The sequence below is a fragment of the Homo sapiens genome, chromosome 2 (genome assembly GCF_000001405.40).
Source record: "Homo sapiens chromosome 2, GRCh38.p14 Primary Assembly".
NCBI lineage: Eukaryota > Metazoa > Chordata > Mammalia > Primates > Hominidae > Homo > Homo sapiens.
Genome location: NC_000002.12, coordinates 161,988,494 through 162,014,628, shown reverse-complemented (window position 1 = coordinate 162,014,628; position 26,135 = coordinate 161,988,494). Strand labels below are relative to the sequence as shown.

General features: G+C 38.0%; 1 protein-coding gene across 8 annotated transcripts in view, besides 1 other annotated feature; it reads left to right on the top strand.

Moving 5' to 3' along the window:
* DPP4 (dipeptidyl peptidase 4) overlaps positions 1 to 22,384 on the top strand; it is an 81,971-nt gene extending 59,587 nt beyond the window's left edge. For all 8 annotated transcript variants that reach the window (NR_166822.1, NR_166825.1, NR_166824.1 and 5 more), the window contains 8 exons: positions 164 to 233; positions 2,642 to 2,836; positions 5,334 to 5,388; positions 5,968 to 6,067; positions 8,820 to 8,884; positions 19,257 to 19,329; positions 19,595 to 19,668; positions 21,245 to 22,384. Coding sequence is in view for 4 of the 8 variants with exons in the window: in NM_001379605.1 (NP_001366534.1) it covers positions 164 to 233; positions 2,642 to 2,836; positions 5,334 to 5,388; positions 5,968 to 6,067; positions 8,820 to 8,884; positions 19,257 to 19,329; positions 19,595 to 19,668; positions 21,245 to 21,346 (734 nt within the window). In the remaining 4 variants the exon portion in view is untranslated. The remainder of the gene's footprint in view (positions 1 to 163; positions 234 to 2,641; positions 2,837 to 5,333; positions 5,389 to 5,967; positions 6,068 to 8,819; positions 8,885 to 19,256; positions 19,330 to 19,594; positions 19,669 to 21,244) is intronic.
* Positions 15,670 to 16,170: an enhancer, noted in NCBI's record as "H3K27ac-H3K4me1 hESC enhancer chr2:162854969-162855469 (GRCh37/hg19 assembly coordinates)". NCBI's record gives its function as "activates a minimal SCP1, AML or CMV promoter by ChIP-STARR-seq in naive H9 embryonic stem cells {active_cell/tissue: H9 hESC(naive)}" and the evidence as "EXISTENCE:reporter gene assay evidence [ECO:0000049][PMID:30033119]".
* Positions 22,385 to 26,135: the final 3,751 nt, after the last annotated feature.

Here is a 26,135-nt window from a genome sequence, read left to right as displayed (position 1 = left end):
TATCTTAAAAATGTGCTGAATCCAAGCAGTTCATTTTCCTTTTCTACTCTCATTTAACAAATTGTTAAACTCTAGAAATGACTTGCTACTGACGGACATGAGGAACAAAATCTTGTGCTAATAATTTTTCTTACCTCACTAATTAATCTTTCTGTTTGTTTAGAATTTTGGTATCAGATGATCTTGCCTCCTCATTTTGATAAATCCAAGAAATATCCTCTACTATTAGATGTGTAAGTATTCAAGAGAAGGGAGCAATTTAGAAGTATTGAGTCATATATATTTTTCTCAGTGCAGCTTACTGAAAAATGGAGCCAAATGCGTCCTTTCCCTCTTCCTGGATCACTGTTTACTATTTCCTCCTTTCACTGTACAGCCACAAAACCCAACCTGTGTTTTCTCACATCTTCTTAATAGAGAAGGGAGATACTCCTTTTCTGACATAATGGTGTATAGATTTTCTTTTGTTTTGCTTCTCTGAACTCCAAGGGAATTTCAAAGGAATTCTTAAGTCTGCATTTTCATCCTTAACCTCCTGGACATTTTAACAAGCAAGAGATGGGCATTAACAGTCGTGACAGTTCCCTTACCCCAGCTCCCACTGGCTGCCTCATGTTTCTCTTCCTTTAGTTCCTGAAATATTACTGCCGGCTATTTTCTATTCCCCTTTTTGGTGAAGAGAAGTGATAGAGGAGAGCGTTCGCTATTAAAAACTTCAAGTCTTTGAGAAAGTTAGGAAGTCACAAGTCTTTGAATAGTGAATGTGAACTCACATGAATTCCAAATATGACAGCTTTGTAAAATATTTTTTATAATCATTAGGAATACACCCTACTTTAATTTTTCTAAAATTGCCCTAGCGTCACCCATGATGCCATAATGTCAGGCTCTTCCTGTCCTGGCTTGCATCATTTCCTATATTAAAAACAAAATGAAACAACACTAGTGCAGGGACCTGCCGAATGCCAGGTGCTTGGCATCATTTGCCTTATTTTATTCACACAACAAACCCATATAGTAAGTTCTGTTGTTCCATTATACGGAAAAAGACATTGAAGGTCAGGGACATAATGTCTCTGTTGTTACCAGCGAGAAAAAAAAAGTGGGGAGAGGAAGGCAGGACCCAGATATTAGTATCAGACACAGCTTTGATCCACTATATTCACAGTTTCATGAAAACCACACATAAAAGCACAAAGAAAGGAAAAGATACATATTTTAAAATTCCAGATGTGTTATCTGATTTCTTTTCAAGTAAAATAATTGTAACAAATGAAGTCAATTCATTCGTGACACTAATTTGTTTTAGGCTTCGGCTCCAATGCTAAAAAAGCATCCTTTTGAGTGATATTTTTATCTTCTTTGACTTCCTAGTAAGTAACGATTTGATCTCCATTAGAAAAGGTTTTAAAAAATGGTAAATTTAATACATATTTCTGTTCAGTTATTTTCCTTTTCCTCTCTTTTAGGGTCTTTTTTTTTTTTCTATTTTAAAAAATAATCTTGTTTAATCTTGGGGTTAGGGAACTTGATATATATACCTAATATTAAGGCAAGCTCTTAATCTACCAAATTTAATATAATTGAGAGGAGCAAGGCATTTCACATGTGAAAAAATATTTGCTAGCTCAAGAAATGCATGAATGCATTTTCCTGTTTAAAGTTAGAATGTTATAGTGTTTTGTTTAAAACGAAAGTTCTTTTGACTGACCTCCCTAAGTAGAAGGAAAACATTAGCAAAGGCATGTAAGCAGAACTTGTCCTATCCTGTGCAGGGACAGTAAGCAGATGAGTGGAGAGATGGGCTGGGGAGGGAATAAGTTATTGGAGAGTATCCATGTCCAGGAGTTGTGTAGATGGTGCAAAGATGACATATTTAAATGAATTGAGATGAGCTATAAGGAGCTCCTCTTGATTAACAAGCAGAAATGAGAGTGCTTTACAGAGCTTTACAGAGATTGTGCACACAGCTCTGTGTAGGGTAGATGGTAGCCTGTGAAGATTGCAGATACAAGGGAGTTAAACTTGTTAGTATATAGAATGCCCAATGACATGCCCGTTTTCCAATGCAACCTGTTTCTTCCTCTGAAGTTTTAAATGTTAGCATTCATTCATACTGCAGTCCATTCCACAATGATTTACAGTCATTGTGAGCAAGACTGTGCCGGGTGCTATGGGAAATGCAAAGCATATGATGCAGAAGTCAAAGTCCTTAAAGAAGGAAATAAACTTGCAGTCCAGGAGTATTGTGTTAAGCTGAGATGGAAAGATATCCAAAGCTGCATTTATTGTTGTCATCATCATTTTTTTTATACCACAACTCCCCCTTCTTAACTATTAGAGAAATTATTTCTTTGATTTCCAAGATTACATTAATACTTCTAAAATCTTGGCCTATGAAGTCTGTGTTTGATAACTATCTTCAAAGACAAAACTGACAAGTATCTTTGAAGGAAATATACAACCATGGTAGTTGTGTTGCTAAGTTTTAGAGGACTCATTCTGGACACCCCATAGGCTGGCACAGTTTAAGGCTCATGATTGGGAAGGATGCATACTTCTCCACGGAGAAGAGAAATGTAAGCATTCCTCATTTGATTCCAGAAAACCATGAAAGCTAACAATTTGGTATTTTTCATAGGTATGCAGGCCCATGTAGTCAAAAAGCAGACACTGTCTTCAGACTGAACTGGGCCACTTACCTTGCAAGCACAGAAAACATTATAGTAGCTAGCTTTGATGGCAGAGGAAGTGGTTACCAAGGAGATAAGATCATGCATGCAATCAACAGAAGACTGGGAACATTTGAAGTTGAAGATCAAATTGAAGCAGCCAGGTGAGTGACTAGGAGATGAAGTCAAAGGTCATCTGATTTTTTTTCCCCTTTAAAATTTACATTTTAAAGCTGTAAAGTGTAAATAATTTAAAGTGTTCTGGGATGAATTTGTAATCTTTTATCCTTACGGTAGGTTTTAGTGAAGATGTTATGTTTAAATAACAATATATTACATTATAGATTGATATGAAGTTCAAAAAAAAAGCATTTCCTAAATTCCTCTCTGTATGAGACTCTAGAAAGGGAGTTGGCATATGTCCTACCACATTCTAAGAACAGAAAATCAAAATTCATCAGACTCGGGGACAAACTGAGGAATAAATGTACCCTAGTAAACATCTGACTAAACAAGCCAAGCCCATTCCTTCACAGTCAAGGATACTGTGTACATTTCCTTCAGTGTACATTTACGTCATAGGCAGTGACAACTCTGAAGTCCTAGGAGTAGCTCCTACAGTCTGGATGAGGGTGACTCTGCTATTTTGGGAAAATTGTGGAGCACAACCATCATCGGTACTATGTATAAGGGCTCTGTTACGTATGAACCACATCTCATTCTTGTGCTCTTCACTTATGGGACTATAACTAGATGTGATCTGGCTCAAGAGATGTTAACAATCAATGATGGTTACTCATAAGATGCATGTTGCATGAGAAGTGCTTTACCTGCAGGCATTGTCGCTGAAGCCCCGAGAGGTGGGTGTTCTTACCCCATATTTTAATTAAATAAATAGAGACTATTAGGTTAGGTAGCTTGCCAAAGTGAATCAGGATTTGAATCCAGTCTCATTCTGACTCTTATATTTAATTACATTCAACTGGTATGTGGGAAATGTAACTTTGAGTTTCTGTAACCAACAGCATGGATGTCTGGGGAAGCATAATAGGGAGGGTGGTTGAAAATAATGTTATGAAATCATAGACTAGGAAATGCAGAAGGATCCATGAATGATGAAATAGATGGAGAGAGGAGAAGATGACAATTGATTAAGGATTCCTGAGGAAAGAAATTCTCTTTTACTAAAGTTAATGATTAGCTATTTTCCTTAACAATTAAAAAATAGAGATTTAGAATAAACAGGGGATACATTTGTTTGAGAGTGAGGCTTTGATATTTTAAAAATAAACTTGTATCTATCCAGATCGCTCCTCTATGAGAGAGGGCATAGTTTCCAGGGTCTCTCAAATCTGACCAACAAAAGTCCTAAAATTACAAAATTAAGGATCTACTATATACAACCCCAGTTAAATAAGTATTGAGAAATAGTGCGTTTATACAGTGGCACACACTATTGCAGCAACTAAAAAGAGCTAAGCATAACAACATGGATGAATTGCATATACTGTTGAATGAAAGAAGCTGGACACAAAAGTGTACATCCTGCAAGATGCAATTTATGTAAAGATAAAAACAAGGCAAAAGTTCAGTGAAATTTTTATGGAATTCAATAAAAGAAAAACATTTCCTTTTGTCCCTTTGCAAAGAGGGAAATGCCTTAGAGGCTTCTGATAATATGCACAGGCCATGATTTCAAGGATACATTCACTTTGTAAAGGTTGATCAAATTATACATGAATGATCTGTTGCACATTGCTGTATGTCTGCCTCCTTCAATTTTACAAAGTTTACGTGGAAAAGATGAGTTGAAAACTATTTTAATTTTTTTCTAGCACTGCTTAACTTAGGGCAACCTAGGACATATTACATGAAAACACAAAGACTGTCAAAATCAAGATAGGTTAATGCAAAGGTCTGCAACCACCCACAATGCTAAAAATTTGAGTTCCATTTGTCAGGTATTTTTAAGTAAAAAAAAATTTCTTTTGATGTCAGGCTAATATTAAGAAATAGGTGCATACAATATTTTTCTTATTTCTTTACCTGGATTCCATCTCTGAACACAGTTTTGTGGCAAAGAAGACTTCTTAATCCATCAAGGAAAAATTTATTTCTATTGAGTGCACGGTACTGAGCTAACTAATCAACACCCAGCATAAGAAGGGATTTATTTAGAGAATGGTGTTTAAGTTCTCAGGTAGGGGGCCCGGAGACATTTCTAAGCCCTTACTCAGAAGTTTTTCATGCCCTTATCTTTCTCCATTGCAGGGGCAGACTCTCCCAAACTGAAAAACATCTGGAGAGATTTAAATTCAATTATGTAAAGAAAAGTGCATCTGGGCTGCAAATTTTTGTATAAAACTGTGAAAAAAACTGCCAGGATTTGTTTTCTGTGAATCATACACACACACACACACACACACACACACACACACACACAATTTTTATGAACTCCAACAAAAGTAAACCATGTTCATCTGGATCTTAGGTTAAAATGATAGATATTTATCTCAGGTGTTTATTTGATTACTGGCAGCAATTTTTAGTCTCTAATAGAATGAAGCAGAGAACAAATGGCAGGGTTTCACATTTGTGCCTCATCTAAGTTTTCTATACACAATGCAGTACTGATCTGTGGACTTTTTCCTTGTGTTTTAGACAATTTTCAAAAATGGGATTTGTGGACAACAAACGAATTGCAATTTGGGGCTGGGTGAGTAGTTGACTGATGAATCTGTATGCATTCGTTAGTGAATATCACTCAGAGCAGGTTACTTTATCTTTTGTATATACATATTTGGAGGTGAAAATCACATCTATCAAGTCTTAGGTCTCTGGGCAGTAACTCTGCAGAATCTCCACTGAGTTAGGCTTACACCTTTGTTTATTATGATGAGCCAGGGAGGTGAGGTAGAAAGAGCAAGAAGGAAGGAGTGAAAGAGGGAGGGAAGAGGGAAGGGAAGGAAGGAGGGAGACTTTTTCTTATGCATCAGTCAGTAAAGATTTCGTGTTATTGTTTTTAAATCTTCTATAATTGGTACCACCCAGTCACTAGGGTCAGCAAATTTTCCGTAGTTTTCCCCATATACCTACCAAGAAAGGGATCAGGGCTCTGAAAGTGTAGTCTTTAAAGATACTGTCCAATTAAGGCCAATTTAAGCCTCCTATACCATGCTTTTTATCTCTAAAGAGGCACAGTATATAAAGATGTGAGAAATGTGGAAACTGCGACTCGCTTACCATATGTCCTTATTCTTTTACCTCCATAAAAATAACTGTTTCCATTCCTTAGTCATATGGAGGGTACGTAACCTCAATGGTCCTGGGATCGGGAAGTGGCGTGTTCAAGTGTGGAATAGCCGTGGCGCCTGTATCCCGGTGGGAGTACTATGGTATGTAATTGCTGCCAGGTACAAAGAGATACGGAGTGTTGACCTCAAAATGCCAGTAACAAAGCCATTCCTTTCTGAGTTTCAGTGTTTTTACAGCGAATAATAGGCTGATTCATCTTAGAGGTTCTTTTTGGATACCTATAATAAGATGATCTCATTTATTCTGCTATTTTGCAAGGCTGGGTGGTATATTTTATTACACGTTTGATTTTTTATCAACAAATTCTGTTTTCCGAATTTCAAAATAGCCCCATGCTACATTTCTACAGATAAATCATTCCTTATCTTTACTCTGATTTGATTCTTGGGTTTCACATATTAGCAGAGTGAGAGAAGTATGTATCTCTTTCCCATCAATTAAATGTCAAATACAAGTAGGGCTTTGGATGGGAAGAGGAGAGGAGGAACAGTGGAAACACCCATTGGGGGGTTGTTGTTTTTTTTCATTCTTAATAGGTGAAAGCTACTCTAGAATATGCTCTTTGTCATCGAGAGAGTATTATTTTATAAGGCATCATACACCTACCTCTAAGACTACAATTCTCAAAGGGGAGGGAGTAAGCGATGGAAGATGAGGGAGGAGGGGGGATTCAGAAGTGGTAAGGAGGTAATTGATTTTCCTGCACCTCTTCTAACCCCATCTCAAGTCTTCTGTCTAGTGTAAGAAAAGAATGGCTGATGATGAATAGCTTATTAAATATTTTATATCCAGAAATATGGTAGTACCCAGAGAAAAAGACTCTTTAAAGTCTCTCCCAGTCAAGATAAACCAATGTAAAAATACATTTATATCTTTCTGTTAAGAAAATTGGAGGGCACAGTTATAATTTGATCTACACACAATGAATTTGTTTTCATAATATTTTTCTGCTTGATATTAATTGTTCTGTTGGATGGCTTGTTTTTGGAGACCTCTAGTGGTCAATAAAATAATGGAGTAAATCTTTGTAAGTTTAAAAATATGAAATGAGAAGAAAACTTCATTTAATGTATATAGACCAATCTAATACATAGAAGTTGTCTAGAGTTCTTATATACGTGTAAATTTAAACAATTTTATTCAAAGATGGGACAAAAGGAATACGTAAATGGTGTTTCAAGGCATATTTTTTTAAAAGTTTACAATTGTATTATGCAGTTATGCATAATATTTTTTAAATGTTATTTTTAAAATTTCAGATCTTCTTATACATGTAAATCTGGTTAGCATAAATAAGAAAGGAGTATTGTGTTCTATGACAAGCAGAATTAAAGTCTGCAGCTACCTAGGGGAAAATGTGTTTCGCCCTTAAAAGCCATTTTTCCCATCTAACGTACAACCTAAGATATTAATATTTAAATGCTAAAGTTAAAAGAGATATGAGCATTTTATGAAGTTCTCATATTTTAAAGTGTCTTTTAAAATATTCTATTTTTATATTAGTGTCCTTTAAATATATAAAATTATGCATAGTCAGTATTCATGTTAATCAAAATGATAAAATATCACTGTTAGTAATTTTGGAGGACAATATTTTGATTTTCATAGAAATGGCATAAAGTATGCATATGGAGCAACTAACACTCATTAGTGTAGTTTGTAATCTACAATACCAGTCATTCAAAAAGTGTTAGAATGTTGAATTTAGATAATATATCCATTTTTAAAATTAATGAAATCAGTTTTGAAATACTTGTAAAATTTTAGTGAAATTCAAGCCACCAACCTAGATAGCACAATGGCAAGATAAAATTCTTAGACTCTTTAACTGTAATCTGGTCACTTAAGGAGGCAGTTTTCAAAGCAGTTATGTCAGATTTTTAAAGTTTTACTGCAATTTGGCCTCAATAATTTTTTTACTGATATTTTAGGCCAAATATATATAATGTATCATTTAATTTTTTAAAATCAGGCAAAATATGTTTAACTATCCAAAATAACCAAACCAATTATGCAACCTGTTTTTCAACCATATTTATAGATAAAAGAGCTTATGTCATTTCAGCAGACAGATATTAATGTAATCTGTTTCACAGTGCTCAACTGTTATACCACAAAAATTGAGGCTTCACCACAAAATGAGAGAAAACAAATGTTAAACTTGCATCATGATGGAGTAGCTGAGCCAATATGGGGATATACAGCAAATAAATGATAACTGAATTATTTGTTTTTATTATAGTGAATCCCAGTCTGATCTCCAAAATAAAATATGATTTAAATCAGCAACTAGTAATTGAACATTGTTAGGGGTCTCCAAAAGGAAATAGATGATCATAAATCAGGGCACATACTTGTATTATAACCAAAAAATTTCAACACAATTGAGGCATTAAGTGACTTCCTAACTAAAATTCTTTGAGAGGGTCATATGATAATGTTAAGATCCCTTACCCCTTAGCACTTCACATTTGACTTTTCTGCATGTGGATTATTGATTGGATTTTAGATAATCTGGTTTGATCTCCCTTTGCCCCATCGTAAGGGAAAATTGAGAATGGGTTAGGGCTGAGTGTGGAAAGGTATGAGTATGCAGGGATCTGGGAATTAGCATCTCTGGCTATATTAGCAAACCAAGTAAAAAATTACCTCCCATAAGGTGCTTTAGCCACCCTTTTCCTTCTTCATAACCACATAGAGATACTTCTGAGAGTAACTCTATATTCCTATACATGAGTGAATACATATGGAAACACTGAAGTGGCCCATTAAAAGCAAGAAAAGTTGTTATTGTATGAATTAAACTTTTTTTTATTTTTTTTTCTTTCACAGACTCAGTGTACACAGAACGTTACATGGGTCTCCCAACTCCAGAAGACAACCTTGACCATTACAGAGTAAGAGATGAGGACCTATACCTATTTTATAACCTATTTATAAGTGGTTTAAGAACCTTCTTAATTGTATCTATTCTAGAAAATACATATTTTTATTTCCAACAAAATTCTTGTTAAAAGAAATAACACAGGTGGTTTAGAGATACTCCAATAGCTTCCCTTACTGTATTCTGCATAATTACAGTCTTTATCGTATGCTATATAGGTCACAATATGCATTCATTTAGAAATACAAAGCAACATCAGATAATTACTTTAATTATAAAATTTCAGTTAAGAAAACCTATTAGAAATTCAACATATTCCTTTAGAGCCCAGAAGACTCTCTAAACCTTTAGCTATATATTGAAATTTCTTACAGTATTATCATAAGTAAGATATATATACGAGACTATAATTTTCTTACTCATAGCCAATTATGTACAGTTTTTTTTCACAAAGATTTAAGTAAAGCAGGTGAGAGGTAGGTACAGTTGGGCAGTACCCTTAAAAAGCCCTAAACCTAAATCACTGAATAGCATCCAACAGGCTGGTTGCCTGATGGAAGAACCAGTGGGCAGGTTGCTCTGCAGATGGGCTATAGCATTTAAAATATGGTGTGGGTGCAACTATCATTGACAGCCCCCATGTGCTAGTGTGGATGCCACGGCAAAGCCAGAGCATTGTCTCTGGTGCCACATTGATGCAGCTGGAAGTGCTAGCATAAGTACTAGGGACCCTTCTGGCACTTTGATCATTCCAAAACTTTGCTGATTCTGTTTGTCATGTTAGGTTGAAAAAAATTTTTTTAAAACCCTGAAACTTACAGCTGACAAGGTAAATCATTTATGATGTTTACATTTTTCAAAGATTGTTCACAATTCTTCACAAGACAGTGAATTAAAGAGAAAGAAAAACAATAAGAATAACTTAAGAACACAATTTCTTTTCATCTGTGTCATGACTTCATATTAATACATTGCTCTGAGCAATATCCATATGTTTTTGTAAGATGTCATCCCTATTACTATGGATGCTGAAGTCATCTGATCAAAATACAGTAAAACTCAAAAGTTTCTAGTTTTGCAAGACAAGTATAGACAATTTAGTTTTACCAATTACTTTCAGCTTACTTAATGAGTAAGGTGTATGTGTGTGTGTGCGTGTGTGTGTGTGTGTGCAGGGAGCTGTGATAGCAATATTTTTGTGTTAGTGGCTGTATGACGGTTTTCATGTCTGTTTCTCAGTCAAGATAGAAAAGTAACAATCTGCAAAGTGAGATGCACAAATCATCTACCCCTGCAAAACAGTCCCATAATTAGATTGTCCCCATTTCTGCTAAGTGTCCCATTTAATACTTAGGGCTCAATTCTTCCCATTCTTTCTCCTCCACCTCCCATAAGCTGCTTTAGACACTCATTTCCTTCTTCATAACCACATTGCTATTGTCACATAACCTATCTCCTTTTATAACAATAACCCGATTTGTCTCCCCTTATCTTGTCTTCTCACACTCCAGTCTATTGTTCACAGAGCTGGGAGATTAACTCCCACCCACAACATGTTCATGGTTCCTTCTTGTGTACTCAACTAAGCCCAGTCCTCACTCTTTACCCAGGTGTTCGGCACCCTTCCTGTAGTAGCCTACTTTGTCTGGAATGCTTGCTGTTCTCTGAATGTTTCTGTGGCTTTCCCTTTTGTGCCTTTGCCCTCTGCTCCTTCCACGTGGAATGTCATTTCCCCTCCATCTCCACCCATTCAGAAACTTACACAGCCCTCTCAGTGGAGTAGCATCCCCTTTGGAATCCCCTTTTGATAGTTTCCTTGTATATCTCTGAATCCTCATTTTATTCCACCTTGAACTAATAGGTATCTTGTACTGAATTTTCCCCTCTTCAGTACTGTTAGTTATTCAAGGTGTACAAGCTATTCAACATTGTATTCTTTGCCTTCGCCTTTAGGAAGTATAACCTTTCCTGATTTAACTTAAAAACTTTTTGAAGGGAAACATTGTTATACAAGAATTTCTCCATCACCGTTTTCATTTTCCAGTTCAAATTTTCTTGTTAACGACCCAACCAGAATACTTAAATTTGATTGTCAAAGAGTTTTCTCCTACAAGATTCTGAAAGTTCCCGAAACATTAGAGGTGCAACTGCCTAGGATCCCAATCCCTCACTTGAACATGGTGTATGATGAATCCAAAACGTTCATTTAAAAAATTATATTTTAAAAAGTGGAGGCTGGAAGCACAAGATCAAGCCCAACCTTGACATCTAAGGAGGTTCATGGCACCTACCCTACCTCCTCAAATAACATCAGCCAATGGGGTATTTCCTCTTCATCCAGCCCTCCCTATATAATGAGATAGGATAATTAGTTGTAGTCTGCCATTTCAACCTGCATAAATTTCCAGTCTTTCCTATAGGCTCCTCGTTCCCACCGAGTTCCCCCTCTTCTCCAGCTCTACCCCTGACTGCGGTGGCCATTTCCATCTCCCCCTTTAGGTGTTCGCTGCATGAGATAGTCATGTAAATAGAAGTCACTTCCTCCTGCCAATGGCAACACACGCACACTGGGTGCACAAAGTCACTCTTTCACTTCACTGCACAGATGGCACCCGAGGACTGTTTAATCCTTCCACGCCAGGAGTCGGGTTTTCTTGGCACAAAATTCATTGCTGGCAATGGACACATTAAAACTGCCAGTACCAGGGAGCTAAAGGTTCCCAATGTGTTACTAAGAGGAATTATTTGGGAGGGCGATAGTTAAGGTGGGCAGGATACAAGTGAGGCAAATGCACTAACTGAATTGTCTCCACCGTGGTAAGTTGCTTCCTCCGAAATGTGGAGAACTGAATCTATGTGGAGAACTGAATCTAAGTGCCTATTTTTGGTGCACAGCAGGCTTTAGAATAAAGCTGCCCTCCTTTGTTTTTTAAATGAGCCTGTGCTTTTGTCTCTGGCAGGAATACATTCAAAGATTCTATTTTCCTCCAAGGCCCCAGCTGCCCCTCTGGACCCCATCTTTTACTTTTCTTTCCCAGGTTGTTTTTCTTTTCTCCTCTCTCTCTCCTCTCTCTCTCTCTCTCTTCCTCTTTTTCCTTCTCTCCCTTTCTCTCTTCCTCACATCCTTTTTGAAAAGACAAAGGAGACAATTCCTTAGAGGATTTCACCACCCTGTGCATTTCAGTGGATCAGAAGGAAATATTTTTAAAGCGGTTCACGTTTAGTCTGGATCAGTGACTCTTTTCAGTACACTGAGGATTAGGAATGACCAAAGTGTGTAACAAGTAAGGCCTTGATCTTAGTCCATGTTTTCAGCTAAATAGCCACTGATACGTGGCTATTTACAGAATTACAGCCTTTGGAAGAAAATGCAGTTTTTAATAAAACTCAAATAAGTAAAGGATTTATTATTAGGTGATTGTTGATCTGGATTTGGAAGAATTTAGAGAAATCCACATCACCAAGAGAAGCACATGTCGTTAAATCAAAGTCCTACTCACCATTGAGGAAAGGGAATTAGAAGAGCCATTTGCATACATGAATGGAACAGGCGGGGATGCCTTGTGCAGTTGTTCAGCCTGTGCCCTGCTGAAAGCCAGACCATACTCCATTTTCTAAGGCCTACACCTCCAGGGCTGTGTCAAACCAAACAGAGCACCCTTTCCTATTCTTTCAAAGCTGCCATGTGGATTAGGGGACCCTGAGACTAAGGCCTAGACCCAATGCAGTGAGTCCATAAGACTCTTTTTGAAGATAATCATCCAACTACTGGCAAGAGGCAAGGGAGAAGCACTTTTAAAGGATATCCAGACCTCAAAGATGAAAGGAGATGTTCATCCCCCCCACCTCAAGGAGCTGATACCGGAAGCTCTAAATGGGCAGCCAAAGTGGAGGGGTGACAAATCTGAGCTAAAGGGTAGTATAGCTCTATGGAAACATCTTTTCTGCAATATGTCTCAGTCCCAGCAGACAGAAATGGTGACAGATTTGAGCAAAGGAATCAGATCCAAAGAGGCAACCCTCAAAACCAATGTCAATCAGCAGACAGCAGCTGTAGCCACACCTTGTGGAGTGGGCTCCTAACAGTGAGGAATGGTCTCTCATGTGGTCAGTCACAGGTCTTTTAGTCAAACTTGTAAAAAATGTTAACGTGGTAGACTTTCATTCACCCATTCAAGGTGCCTGGCGTTTTAATCATTCGGAAGTTTATTCTTTGTCAGTTAGAAAAAACAGTATTTTGGAAGAGAAATAAAAGAGAGTAGGTAATAAAAGATGAATTTGAATATGACAAAGTATCCAATATGTGTGAAAAAGACTTGTGGTTTTCAAATTGTGACTATGAAGCCCCAGGAATTCTATACCTTAGGAGCATGTAGGGAGGGGAAGGGGAGTGGCCAAGAAGTTAGAGTTTCCCCTTCTCTGCTCCCTAGCCAGAGGGGGTCTAGTTTCATTTATTTCATTCATGTTTTCATTCATTTATTAAGTGCTTCTATGGCAAGTCATCATTCTAAGCTCTTTACATGGGTTATCAGGTTTAATTCTCCTCCAGATCCTCCAAGTACTGTGTTTCTATTTTACGGACACACAAACTGAGGCACAAAAATGTTATGCAACATATTGATATTGAGGGTTAGAAAAGGGAGAGAGGGCACTTATCTGAATCATTAGAGAAAGATTTCGGAAGATGGGGAGGACGAGCATGATGCTCTCAATAGGTTACGTATTGGGGGAAGGCAGATCAGCACAGTAGACAAATGAATAGCAGGAAGAGTGGTTTTCTGGCGATGTGTGAAGCAGGTCCGATGAACTGAGGGATAACAGAAGAAGGGCTCTGAGTAGAGCAGGCCAAATGCTGGCCAAGAAGACAGGACATAAGCCTGGGGAGGGGATAGATTTATGAATACACACAGAGAGAAGTATCAGATCAAGGGCAAGAGAAATAGGACCCAAGTCCTGAGCCTTGTTGCCAAGAGAAGAGGGCAGCCTGGAACACACAGAAGGGACTGATTTAACTTGTAGAGGAGATTTATTTTGCATTTTGCTCAAAATTTGATAGGCTTTTGGCAAGTGTATGAAACAGTCATAGATTTGGCAGTCTTCTGCTAGCAGATTTGAAATGTTCAATCCTTAAGAACTGCTGCATCGTTAGGTTATGCAAAACAGGGTGCAATTTTGTAAATATGCCATCTTGTACTGATTTGACATTTGTTCTATTATCCCAGAATATGCCAAAGGGAGAGAGACCTTCAGATTTAAGCCAAACCTTAACTTGTTTGTTGAGTGCTGATAAAATGTTGACTGCTGTGTGATCTTTAAAGAAGCCAGTGTTGCTTGGTGAGGCCTGAGGTGGAGCCCCCTGTCTGGGGTTGATGGGAGCTCTCTCCTTGGCATCCCATGGGTACAGTTGTTTGATAGATGTACATAAGTAAAACATCTGTTTTAGTGAGTTGAAGTCATTCTTTTCTTAAACATTTTCTGTGGCCCCTGTTGTGATATTAATGGTGCTTCCCAAAATGGCATCATTTAATATTATTTATGCAGCTTTGGTTACAAGTAGGAGAATGCATAGAGCAAGCCGCTAAACCCAAAGTCGTATCTTACTGAAGTGCTGGGTTGCTGTCCGTTAGACCCAATGACTGTGTGCTCTTTCTATAAGATCTTATAAATGGGATGAGTTGTTTGGTTGTGATGTCAAGTGCCAGTAGAATATGATAGTCAGGGACATGAGCTTTTGGGGTTAGGCCAACATGTCCGCAATTTCTGTTTCAACCACTTACCAGCAGTATGAGTTTGAGGAGGCTACTTAACCTTACTGAATCTCAGTTTCCTCATCTGGATAATGGGATAATCAGACCTACCTCACAGGGTTATTGAAATCATTAAATGAGGTGCTTGTGCCTGCCATGAAGGAAGCTTTCAAAACATGGCAGCTGCCACCATTATTATCTCCAGGAAGCAAATTGTCCTTATGGTTCCTAGATGGCACTAGGGGTAGTTTAAAAATTGTTATACCTTCTGTTTCTCATAGTACTCTCCTCCTCTTATCAGCTCTCTCTTTTAATTCAAAAATACAAAGATTTATTTGTTGGAAGGTAACTGAGGAACCAGCATGATCCAACGAGCAGCTACAGATGGTTCTTCTTGGGGACTGAAGGAAAAGCTCCTCAGAGATGCTGTGGAGTCGGCACTGCCACTGGACCGATCCTTCCCACTTCTCCTTGCCAGGCTGTTGCTGGCAGCGGGGCTCTCCGGAAGTTTCTAGCCTCAGGAGAGTGCCAACTGCACCACCATTGCATCCTTGCCCATTTATCACTCTGAGTTTCCTTTTTAGTAGTTGGTGATAGACTATTCGGCTTCTAACTTAGTCATCCATTTCCTTTTTTATTTCTGTTTCCATGGATAGGCAAAGAGGGATTATCCTCTTTTGGTAGGTTAAAATAGCACAATTAATTTTTTTTCTAATCATTAATCATACCTTAAATTCATGCCTGTTATTTCTTTTTCTGGCTTTGTATGTTATCTTTACAGCTTAAAGTGTGCCATACACTGGACTGTAAAGGGTGTTAATTGAGAAGCCAGGGTGCACAGTTGAGTAGGGAATGATCAATGGTTCCAGAGGCAAGGTGACACAGCTGCCTTTTTCTGGGGAAAAAAATGTTCTGTGTAGCCTGAGAGCCTTAAAGTGGGTGTATGTCTCTCAGCTGCCTCTCTCCCTCTCACAGAGAGGTCCCTCTGGAGGCTTCTCCCAGTGAGCAGGGGAAGTGCGCATTTGAAATGGCACACTTATCTTGCAGTTGCAGGGGAAGCTTTTGTTTTATTTTTCTCTTGCTGCATTAAAGTATTTGTCTTTCTTTCTTTGTAGTGTAATATTGTTAATGTAAAACAATTTGCATCATGACACTTTTATCACAGTTTTCGTCTTTTTCTCAGTATGTTGCATTTCTCACCATGTCTAGTTCATCACAGCTACAGTGTGTACATCACAACATTTATCTTAGGCTCAGGGTTTTACTTGTTTATAAAAATTGTCTTCTTTCAGCCTGTATTCACTCCATTTAAGAAAAAAAAAGGCAGCCAGAAACTGTTTTGGTCCAAACTCCAGTAGTTATCACATTCCTTGCTAACTGTCCTGCGTATTTATATGTCTCCTAACTATTACTCTATGTTTCAATGACATTTCTCAGTTTCATGGCTCAGGGAGGTTGTAGGAGCAGCTTTTGCTTTTCAAGCTGCCAAGCAAGGCAGGCCCATGAGGCTTTTGGAGGTGAGGTGAGGTGGCACAGTTGTATATTTGGGTCAGGTCTGAGTGTTAAAGTTGACTGTCTTCCGCGAGCAAAGAGCTAAATTTAATTTGGAGAGCAACAAGGAGGGAGGAAGTCAGTGCAGGCTGAGAGCATGGCTAGTGGAAAGGATCACCAAAGAGGACTCACATGGGGGCACCTCAGCCTGCGATTCAGGCAATTAATGTTTACGGTCAGTACTCAAGCCTCAGCCTTTCTTGTCTCCAGCTTTGAATGCTGCGCAAAACTGTCTTTTAGGGAGATTTATTTTGACCCTTTCCTCTCTGAAGGACAGAAAATTGCTCAGAGTTCTATTGCCCCATTAGGCTATACGTCACTTGCGTAGTCACAAAGTATGCCTCCCAAATCACCCAGGGCTGTGCAGAGCAATCTCTCTTCTGATTAGTGCAGTCTGAGACGGCATGGGTCTTAGGAGGATCTCAAAGGATACCCATTATTATTATGCACTTCAAATTCCAGGACAGTTAATTAACATTTTATTTCACACTGTTTCTTTGCCAGAAGATCACATCATAAGCAGCTTGGAATTTTAGTGGAGACGCAGTGCAATGTAGGAAGTAAAAAGGGCTTGCTGTCAGACTTTGTCCAGCTCTGACACTTGCTGTAGTTGTGACCGGGTGCAGGTTACTCACCTTCTGAGTCTTGGTGCCTCCATCTTGAAAGGAGAATTGTTCTAGACCTATTTTACGCAAATATTGCAAGGATTTGATATAGCAGTGCTTTTATAAACCCTTATTTATATGTGATGCTTAACACAGCGACAGGCACAGAGTAAATGCTCAATTGAATGTTAGCTATTATCATGAATGGTATGGTGTATGGATAGAAAGTGGGCAAAATATATCTCAATACATTTCAGAATGAGCATATTTTATTTTGCCCACTCCAGCTGATAACACTTGATTCTGCAAAACTAGTACCAAATATAGTGGACACTGCAAGTGCTTGATCATTTATTTCATTTACTCATTTAATTGATAAATATTTTGCACTCTATTAGATGTTAAGAGTAATGCATAATATAGACAAATCTTTTTTCTTATGGATCTTATCATTTAGTGGAGTACATAATAAGTAAATATTGATTGACTAGATGAAAAAAATCAACGGAGGGATAAATGGTGATGTTGGGATGGATGGACAGATGGATTTATATTTAGATGTATTTATCTGAGACATCTTACCAGACAAAAAAAGTTTCTCAAAAATAAAAGGAGTCTCACTCAGGTTTTTATTCTGAGAGTTCATGAGTAAAATTTTCAATTTGGGTGAGAAATGGAATATGGTCAGAACAAGTGGGAACCAGCCTGCACAGAAGAGGAAGGGCATTTGTTTTAAGCCTACTAGGCCAGGATGACCTTGGGACATTCATTCGACTGAAACATTTTGGGTGGCTCTGTCCTGAAAGTCGTAGATAAAATGTCTTTTTTCCAGAAACACTGTTAAAGAATTCTCACATCAGCATCAGAAATTTAACCCCCTAAAAATGCTTTTGCTATGCCTCTTAGTTCCTATTATTGTGATGGAGTAAGAGGAGTTACAGTAGCCCACCCTTGTTTAAGGTGAATACATTCCAAGACCCCCAGTGGATGCCTGAAACTGTGGATAGTACCGAGGCCTTTTATACATTATGGTTTTTTTCCTCTACATATATACATACCTATGATAAAGTTTATAAATTAGGCACCATAAGAGATTAACAATAGCTAATAATAAAATAGAACAATTATAATGATAAACTGTAATAAAAGTTAATTGAGTGTAGTCTCTCTCTCTCAAAATATCTTATTGTACTATACTGAAGGTAACTGAAACCATAGAAAGCAAAACTGCCAATAAGCGGGGACTACTCTATTCCAATCTTATAGAAATCAAAGCTCAAGGAGCAGCATACCTCCAGTTGCATAGCTCACTGATATTGAAACTGGAACTTGAATACAAACACTGTTACTTTAGCCCCATCCCCTTCCTGCCAGACCACCAAGGTTCCCATCAAAAATATAAGCTGATATGAGCTACAGAGATATCTGTGAAATATAAACCTTGGCTTTCATAAAGTTGAATTTGATTCACCAAGATGCTGCAGGACGAGCTGGCTGCTTTTAAACCCATGGAGATGCTGCTGCCCCTTTCCTGCCCAACACATAACAGGACCATCAAAGTAGACTCTAGCTCACCCCCTCCCAAAGGCACTACAGTATTTTATGGCATTTTTACCTTCATCCCAACTTTGGTAAATATCCTCAAATTCAGATTAGATGACCAGCTTTAGATGATTTCAAATGGCTTTTTCATCCAAGACTCCTGACCCTCATTCTAGGAGCCCTGGCTCAGGCCACATAGCAGTCTCAAAAAGCTGACTTCCCAATTTTTTTTTTTATCCTATTTCTTGGCTAATTTGGGTATGACTTGATCAAATAGTATCTCCTCTAATAGACAGAATGAGGCAGACAACAGCAACCCACTGATTTTCTAAGGCCACTTTTGATCTTTTTTACCCCCTTCCCCTCCCATATGTTACATTTGCCTAGGTTTTTAACATCTGTTCCCAAAGAGGTAATATTTGCTTTTCATTCAGAGCTCAGCAATGTGGACCAAAGTTCACATGACATATTGCAGAGTATGTTTAGTTGCAAATGCTATGTACAGGCTCTTTGAAATGTAGCATGTATGGCACCATGTGACACATGGTTGCCATGGCAATACACTTTTTGGCTGAACTACAGCAGAAGCCCATGGAACATACATTACTAATATGAGACTCTGCCCTGTGCTAATGCATAGGACACAGCCAATCTGGGATCTGGGACTCAAGGGGTTTTGCATGCAGGCTGGGTGGCAGGTGCCCTCTTCCTGCATGTTCAGGGAAGATGTGGCATCCTCCCTTCCAGTCCTGTCTCCCAGGCACAGGGCATGCTGTGCATTCTGCCATGCATGGAGACAGCATTTGCTTGAATATCGGTTTGCTATATTTTGTATCAAAGGGGGCCCCAGCTGAAAACATTTTATTTTGTAAACTGAAGTGAAAAATCAGTTTATGGCAGATCCTTTTTTGAATAATGACATTCTTTCTCCCAATTCCAGAATTCAACAGTCATGAGCAGAGCTGAAAATTTTAAACAAGTTGAGTACCTCCTTATTCATGGAACAGCAGATGGTGAGTTTCAGTTAATTAGACTTTTTAGTATCACAGACAGGTTTGCAATTTCACTACTGACAAAACAAAAGCATGAGGGGCAAGACTGTTACATTTACTTCAATAAAACAGTGTTGCTTTCCACAAGTCACTTGTCTTGGGCTAAATGGGATGCTGAGTCCTAGAACTTCAAACAGTCCCTTTCTTCTTGTGCCTTTCCCACCCCTTGGTACCAGAAAACTGGAGTGGCTATTAGCTACTTTATGTTTCCTTTCTCTCCCTGCAGATAACGTTCACTTTCAGCAGTCAGCTCAGATCTCCAAAGCCCTGGTCGATGTTGGAGTGGATTTCCAGGCAATGGTATAGAAAAACTTTGTGCAAGGGGAGGGAAGTTGCTGGTGGGGTCTAGTTTCCTCTTTCTGGGCTAATTCTTTTAGCAGTGCCACAGACAGGACAGAATAAAAACATTAAAAATTTTTTTTTCAACGTGAAGTCAGAAGAGTGGTATCCTTCAGCCATGCACAGAGTAATGCTCAATAATATTAGCGAGTTTGGGGTTAAGAAGCACAATATCGCATATGCTGGGAGTATCAAGACACTGCTCTCCTGTTCATGTGATTGTTCAGTCTCTCCCTATTTTGATTCAAAAGTAATCACTTGTTCAGTAAATGTGTGGCAGAGTAATTCTAAAGTGAAACCAGCATGATAATAGCTCAGCTCAAATATGAAAATCCATTTCTGTCTGGTATGTATTACTAGCTATTCTAACAACAGTGGGATCTTAATAATCAGCATGCTTCAGTTTTTGCAATTACAAGGTGATCTTTTGTTGAATAACCACAGGCGATAAACAATTAGGATTGTTTTATAAAGTCAGGAATGGCTAGAGCTGTTGTTGTCTATGCAGAGGATATTTCTACGTATTATGTCAAATTCATTTTCTGCATTAGAGATTTTCAGATGAAGGAAAACGTATTTTTAATGTGTGCATGTATGTATATGTATTTATGTGTCCTCTAACACACATGATTTGCTCTGTGCTCAGTTCAAATGGTGCCCAATGCACAGGAGTGGGACAGTTACTTGATACTGAGAAAAACTGGCTATCTTTTGGGTCAGTGTTTTATAAGAGGTTGAAGTTTATTTTTCTACTATTCAAAGAAAAGACAAATGCTACTTTAATTAAGCTTTTTTTAAAGTTAACTTATGTCTCCATAATTTATGTTTGCCCGGTAATGACTTCCCAATTATTTAACAAGGTATGAATCAATAAATTTTTGTCCCAGATCATTAATTCCTTTTACATAAATGTCAAATACACAGATTTCTTAAAATACCAGTTTAAAATCTAAGTGTTTACAAATAATACATCTGATTTTTGACTTCACTTCTATTAAACATATATATGTAATATTGAAATAGAGTTTTTCCAGTTTCTAGGTGCTATATATTAGGCAATATTGCTTTAAAAAAAATCATTTAGTTTAATACAGTTTATCTTACTAGAGTACAGAGAAATTTAACACTTGATAACAGTTTAATTAAAACAAGTGGGCTTAATGGGATAATCATTCCTTCCCATGCATGCTGTGTAAGCGCCCTTTGAGTCAAATTTGGAAATGGATTGGGTGTTTTAATTAAAATGTACGTATCTTTAAAGCACTATTCAATAAAGCCAAATTCACAGTGAGTTCTCTCAGCACCTGCAAAAGAGGATCAGAGACTTCTGCAGGACAGAACAACGTGCCCTGGAAAAGCTCTGGGGGAAAATTAGACCCCCTCTTTGACCCCGTTTCAGTTTATAAACTGCCTCAGGAATTAAAACACTCTGTTTTATACCATGTATGCTCGTGAGAGCTCATTTGAATTTACGTATTTTTTTTTTTAAGAAGAGTACTGACTTCCTAATTCTAACTTCTTTTCTTTCTCTCTCTAGTGGTATACTGATGAAGACCATGGAATAGCTAGCAGCACAGCACACCAACATATATATACCCACATGAGCCACTTCATAAAACAATGTTTCTCTTTACCTTAGCACCTCAAAATACCATGCCATTTAAAGCTTATTAAAACTCATTTTTGTTTTCATTATCTCAAAACTGCACTGTCAAGATGATGATGATCTTTAAAATACACACTCAAATCAAGAAACTTAAGGTTACCTTTGTTCCCAAATTTCATACCTATCATCTTAAGTAGGGACTTCTGTCTTCACAACAGATTATTACCTTACAGAAGTTTGAATTATCCGGTCGGGTTTTATTGTTTAAAATCATTTCTGCATCAGCTGCTGAAACAACAAATAGGAATTGTTTTTATGGAGGCTTTGCATAGATTCCCTGAGCAGGATTTTAATCTTTTTCTAACTGGACTGGTTCAAATGTTGTTCTCTTCTTTAAAGGGATGGCAAGATGTGGGCAGTGATGTCACTAGGGCAGGGACAGGATAAGAGGGATTAGGGAGAGAAGATAGCAGGGCATGGCTGGGAACCCAAGTCCAAGCATACCAACACGAGCAGGCTACTGTCAGCTCCCCTCGGAGAAGAGCTGTTCACAGCCAGACTGGCACAGTTTTCTGAGAAAGACTATTCAAACAGTCTCAGGAAATCAAATATGCAAAGCACTGACTTCTAAGTAAAACCACAGCAGTTGAAAAGACTCCAAAGAAATGTAAGGGAAACTGCCAGCAACGCAGGCCCCCAGGTGCCAGTTATGGCTATAGGTGCTACAAAAACACAGCAAGGGTGATGGGAAAGCATTGTAAATGTGCTTTTAAAAAAAAATACTGATGTTCCTAGTGAAAGAGGCAGCTTGAAACTGAGATGTGAACACATCAGCTTGCCCTGTTAAAAGATGAAAATATTTGTATCACAAATCTTAACTTGAAGGAGTCCTTGCATCAATTTTTCTTATTTCATTTCTTTGAGTGTCTTAATTAAAAGAATATTTTAACTTCCTTGGACTCATTTTAAAAAATGGAACATAAAATACAATGTTATGTATTATTATTCCCATTCTACATACTATGGAATTTCTCCCAGTCATTTAATAAATGTGCCTTCATTTTTTCAGAAGTAATGACTTGTGTCTTGAATAAGACCTAAACCGCACTGGCATATGGACACATTTATCTAGAAAGGCTCTTGTTTATTTTGTTAGTAATCCCAGACTACCTTGTAAACATGGAAAGAGTTCAGCTTTGGTAAAAAAATTAGATATATAAAAATGTGTTAAGCTAAACAGTTCATAGGTTTTTGCCTAATAATGTGCAATTTCTCTTATCATAAATACATACAGCTTTTGAGAAATCAACTTAAACTAATTTTAGTTACTTATATCATACACAATTTATAATTTTATTCCAGGGAACTATGATGAGGCTTATATAAGAACGAATAAGATCAGAAATATCATTCTGGCAGTTCTTATGGCTCAGTAGAAGTAGTCAATTATTTAAGTGGTTGACTATTTGTGGTTGACATTACTATAAAAATGAAAGTGGCCAGGCATGGTGGCTCACGCCTGTAATCTCAGCCCTTTGGGAGGCTGAGGCAGGCAGATCACGAGGTCAGGAGATCGAGATCATCCTGGCTAACACAGTGAAACCCCATCTCTACTAAAAATACAAAAAATTAGCTAGGCATCGTGGCGGGCGCCTGTAGTCCCACCTACTGGGGACACTGAGGCAGGAGAATGGTGTGAACCCGGGAGGCGGAAGTTGCAGTGAGCCGAGATCACACCACTGTACTCCAGCCTGGGCTACAGAATGAGACTCCGTCTCAAAAAAAAAAAAAAAAAGAAAAAAAGAAAGCATAAATTTTTTTTTTTTCCGAGACAGAGTCTTGCTCTGTTGCCCAGGCTGGAGTGCAGTGGCATGATCTCGGCTCCTGGGTTCAAACGATTCTTCTGTCTCAGCCTCCCAAGTAGCTGGGATTACAGGTGCGTGCCACCATGCCTGGCTAATTTTTGTATTTTTAGTAGAGATGGGTTTTTGTCCTGTTGGCTAGGCTGGTCACGAACTCTTAACCTCAGGTGATCCGCCCGCCTTGGCCTTCCAAAGTGCTAGGATTACAGGCGTGAGCCACCACATCTGACCGAAAGCAATAATTTTAAATGCTGAATTTGGCCTAGCAAAGCAATATCCAGATAACAGAAAACATCATTTTTTTCAATTATTTGCAAAACAGCCTCATTTTTAAAAATTTGACTTTATGAGTTTAAACTTAGCTTCAGACCATTTGCTAGACAAAGTTTTCCCAGACAGGGTGAGCTACAGCATAAAAACCTAAAAATGGAAGAAATGGAAAAAAAAATCTACCAATTGAACATGAGACTGGTGAGTCATGCATAGGAATGGACAGAGGATTGTGAAATCCATCTTCAACTACAGCTTCAGAGCATGCCATTGAGTCACTTCACCTTAATTAAATCTCAACTCCCACTCCTCCATTGGAACCACAAACTGACCTTCCAATCTGTAGGACTCTTCTTGTCAAAATTCTGTTTCTTAATACAGTTCAATCATTGTGAGTAGCTGGATCAATCTTTGCAGAATTGTATATCAAGAAGCGGTAGTAATATATGTTCACATCCTGGACAGCATTAATAGTCATAAAAGCAAATTAAATAGAAATTCTCCTTTTATCTTAATTGAAGCCAGACATTGTACAATGTCAGATATTGTACAACATCATATATCATACAAGTCAGATATTATAATCGTAATATCTAAGTCAGATACTATTTAATATTTATACAATATCAAAATGATATGGATTAATATTTCTTTAGTTTCTAAGCATGTGCAGTATTTTCTCTGGAGTGAGGTAATCCCAGCACATATTTTTCAAGCATTGAAGGCTGCAAAAAGTAATAATGTGAGTAAAGTCGAAGTAGTTTTCATTTGACCCTCATAGGACAAGTTTTCCTTTCCAATGAGAGTTTTAAATTAGCTTATGGAAAAAAGAAGAAAATGGACAAATAAGTTAGAGATAAACTTAATCTGAGAATAAGTTTAAAACATACAGGAACCAGTCATACCACTAAGATGTGCAGACTTGTCTTGACATTCATAGCTGCAGCCTCTGCAGACACAGGAATGGCTAAGACTCCTTTCATAACAACCTGTGAGAGTACACCAGTGCCCAGAGGCACATACACGAAAAGAAGGGAGAAATGGCTTACATCTCTTCTATGGATACAGGGTTGGTTTTTTAAGTTTCTATCAAGATTTTTAGAAAATCACTATGAATTATTTTTTAACATGTTTGTTGGAAATTTTGCTAAATATGAGTACATACCTTCATACTTTATTAAATATCAGGCACAGAATATAATTCAATGCATTCTTGATAACTCAGAGCCACTACCATAAAAGTTAATGAACATACTGGGCTTCGTGACATTCTGCATATTTTCTGTTTCTTTTCTTATTCACAGGTAGTCACTGAGGCTACCAGTTCCACTTCTTGGCATTTGCTACTTTTGCTCGAAGTTGATGTGAGAATACTGATTTATAAGACTACTAGATTTGTACAATATTTATGATTCAATAAACTCTAAATAGAAAACACAACAAAACATAAGCATGACTTTTTTCCATAAAGTAAGAGGATTTTGTTGGCCAACTCTGTGGCAGTTATTTCAGCAGCGTCCAAGAACTCTTTTGTGTACATCCTGAGTGACCTAGAGTGTGTATTCAGGATGTCTGAGGGATACAGATGGTTGAGAATAATAGACAAGTGTGGGTTATAAAGTATAACATCACAGCCAGGCATGGTGGCGGCTCACACCTGTAATCATAGCACTTTGGGAGGCCAAGCGGGGTGGATTGCCTGAGCCCAGTTCGAGACCAGCCTGGGTAACACGGTGAAACCCCGTCTTTATTGAAATACAAAAAAGTAGCCAGGCATGGTGGTGTGCTCCTGTAATCCCAGCTACTCGGGAGTCTGAGACAGGAGAATCACTTGAACCCGGGAGTCGGAGGTTGCAGTTAGCAGAGATCGCGCCATTGCACTCCAGCCTGGGTGACAGAGCGAGACTCCATCTCAAAATAAATAAATAAATACATAAACAAAGTATAACATCACTATCCCATGAGGAAAGCTCAGAGCATGGTATGAATGGACCAATATTATGGCCCATAGAAATGTATCATCTTTCTGCACAGTCTTCTTTCTGTGACAATATTAACATTTACACCCAAGAATTTGAATTAATAGTTAACTTCCTTAATTGAGAGAAAACTTTTTTTTTTGGTGCTTACAGGCTTTAAGCCTCAACAAACTCGATAAAAATTCTTATTCTATATAGTCTTTCATCTGAACCCACTCTTCAAATTATTTAAAAAGCATGTGTGAGTGTGGTGTGAAGTGTGACCATCCAACAATCAAAAACCCTTTTTATTTTTTAAGCTTCTTCTATCCAAGGTCCTGATATTTGTGACTCATGAGCAAAAAAGGTGTTTCACTGGGTAAGTTTGGTTTCCAGTGTTAATAACAGAAAGATTGGTGGCAAAGAAAATGTAACATATTAAGCAGAAATATTAATCATCATAACCTGATTCTGGTTCCATGAGCCAGAATGAATAACCTGATAAGGAGGAAGGCGGTCACATCTCACCTCCTGCTGGAGACACAGTGCCCTGCAGCTGAGGTCAGTTGGACCTGGGTTAGAGTCTCAGTACCACCAACTCACTAATGGGGAACATTTAAAGAACAATACTTAGCCTCTTTGAACTCCAGTGTCTTAATTTGTAAAAAGTACAAAAAGACCTACCTTACAGAACTGGTTGCATTGCTCTGAAGATTTACATAGATACAATGC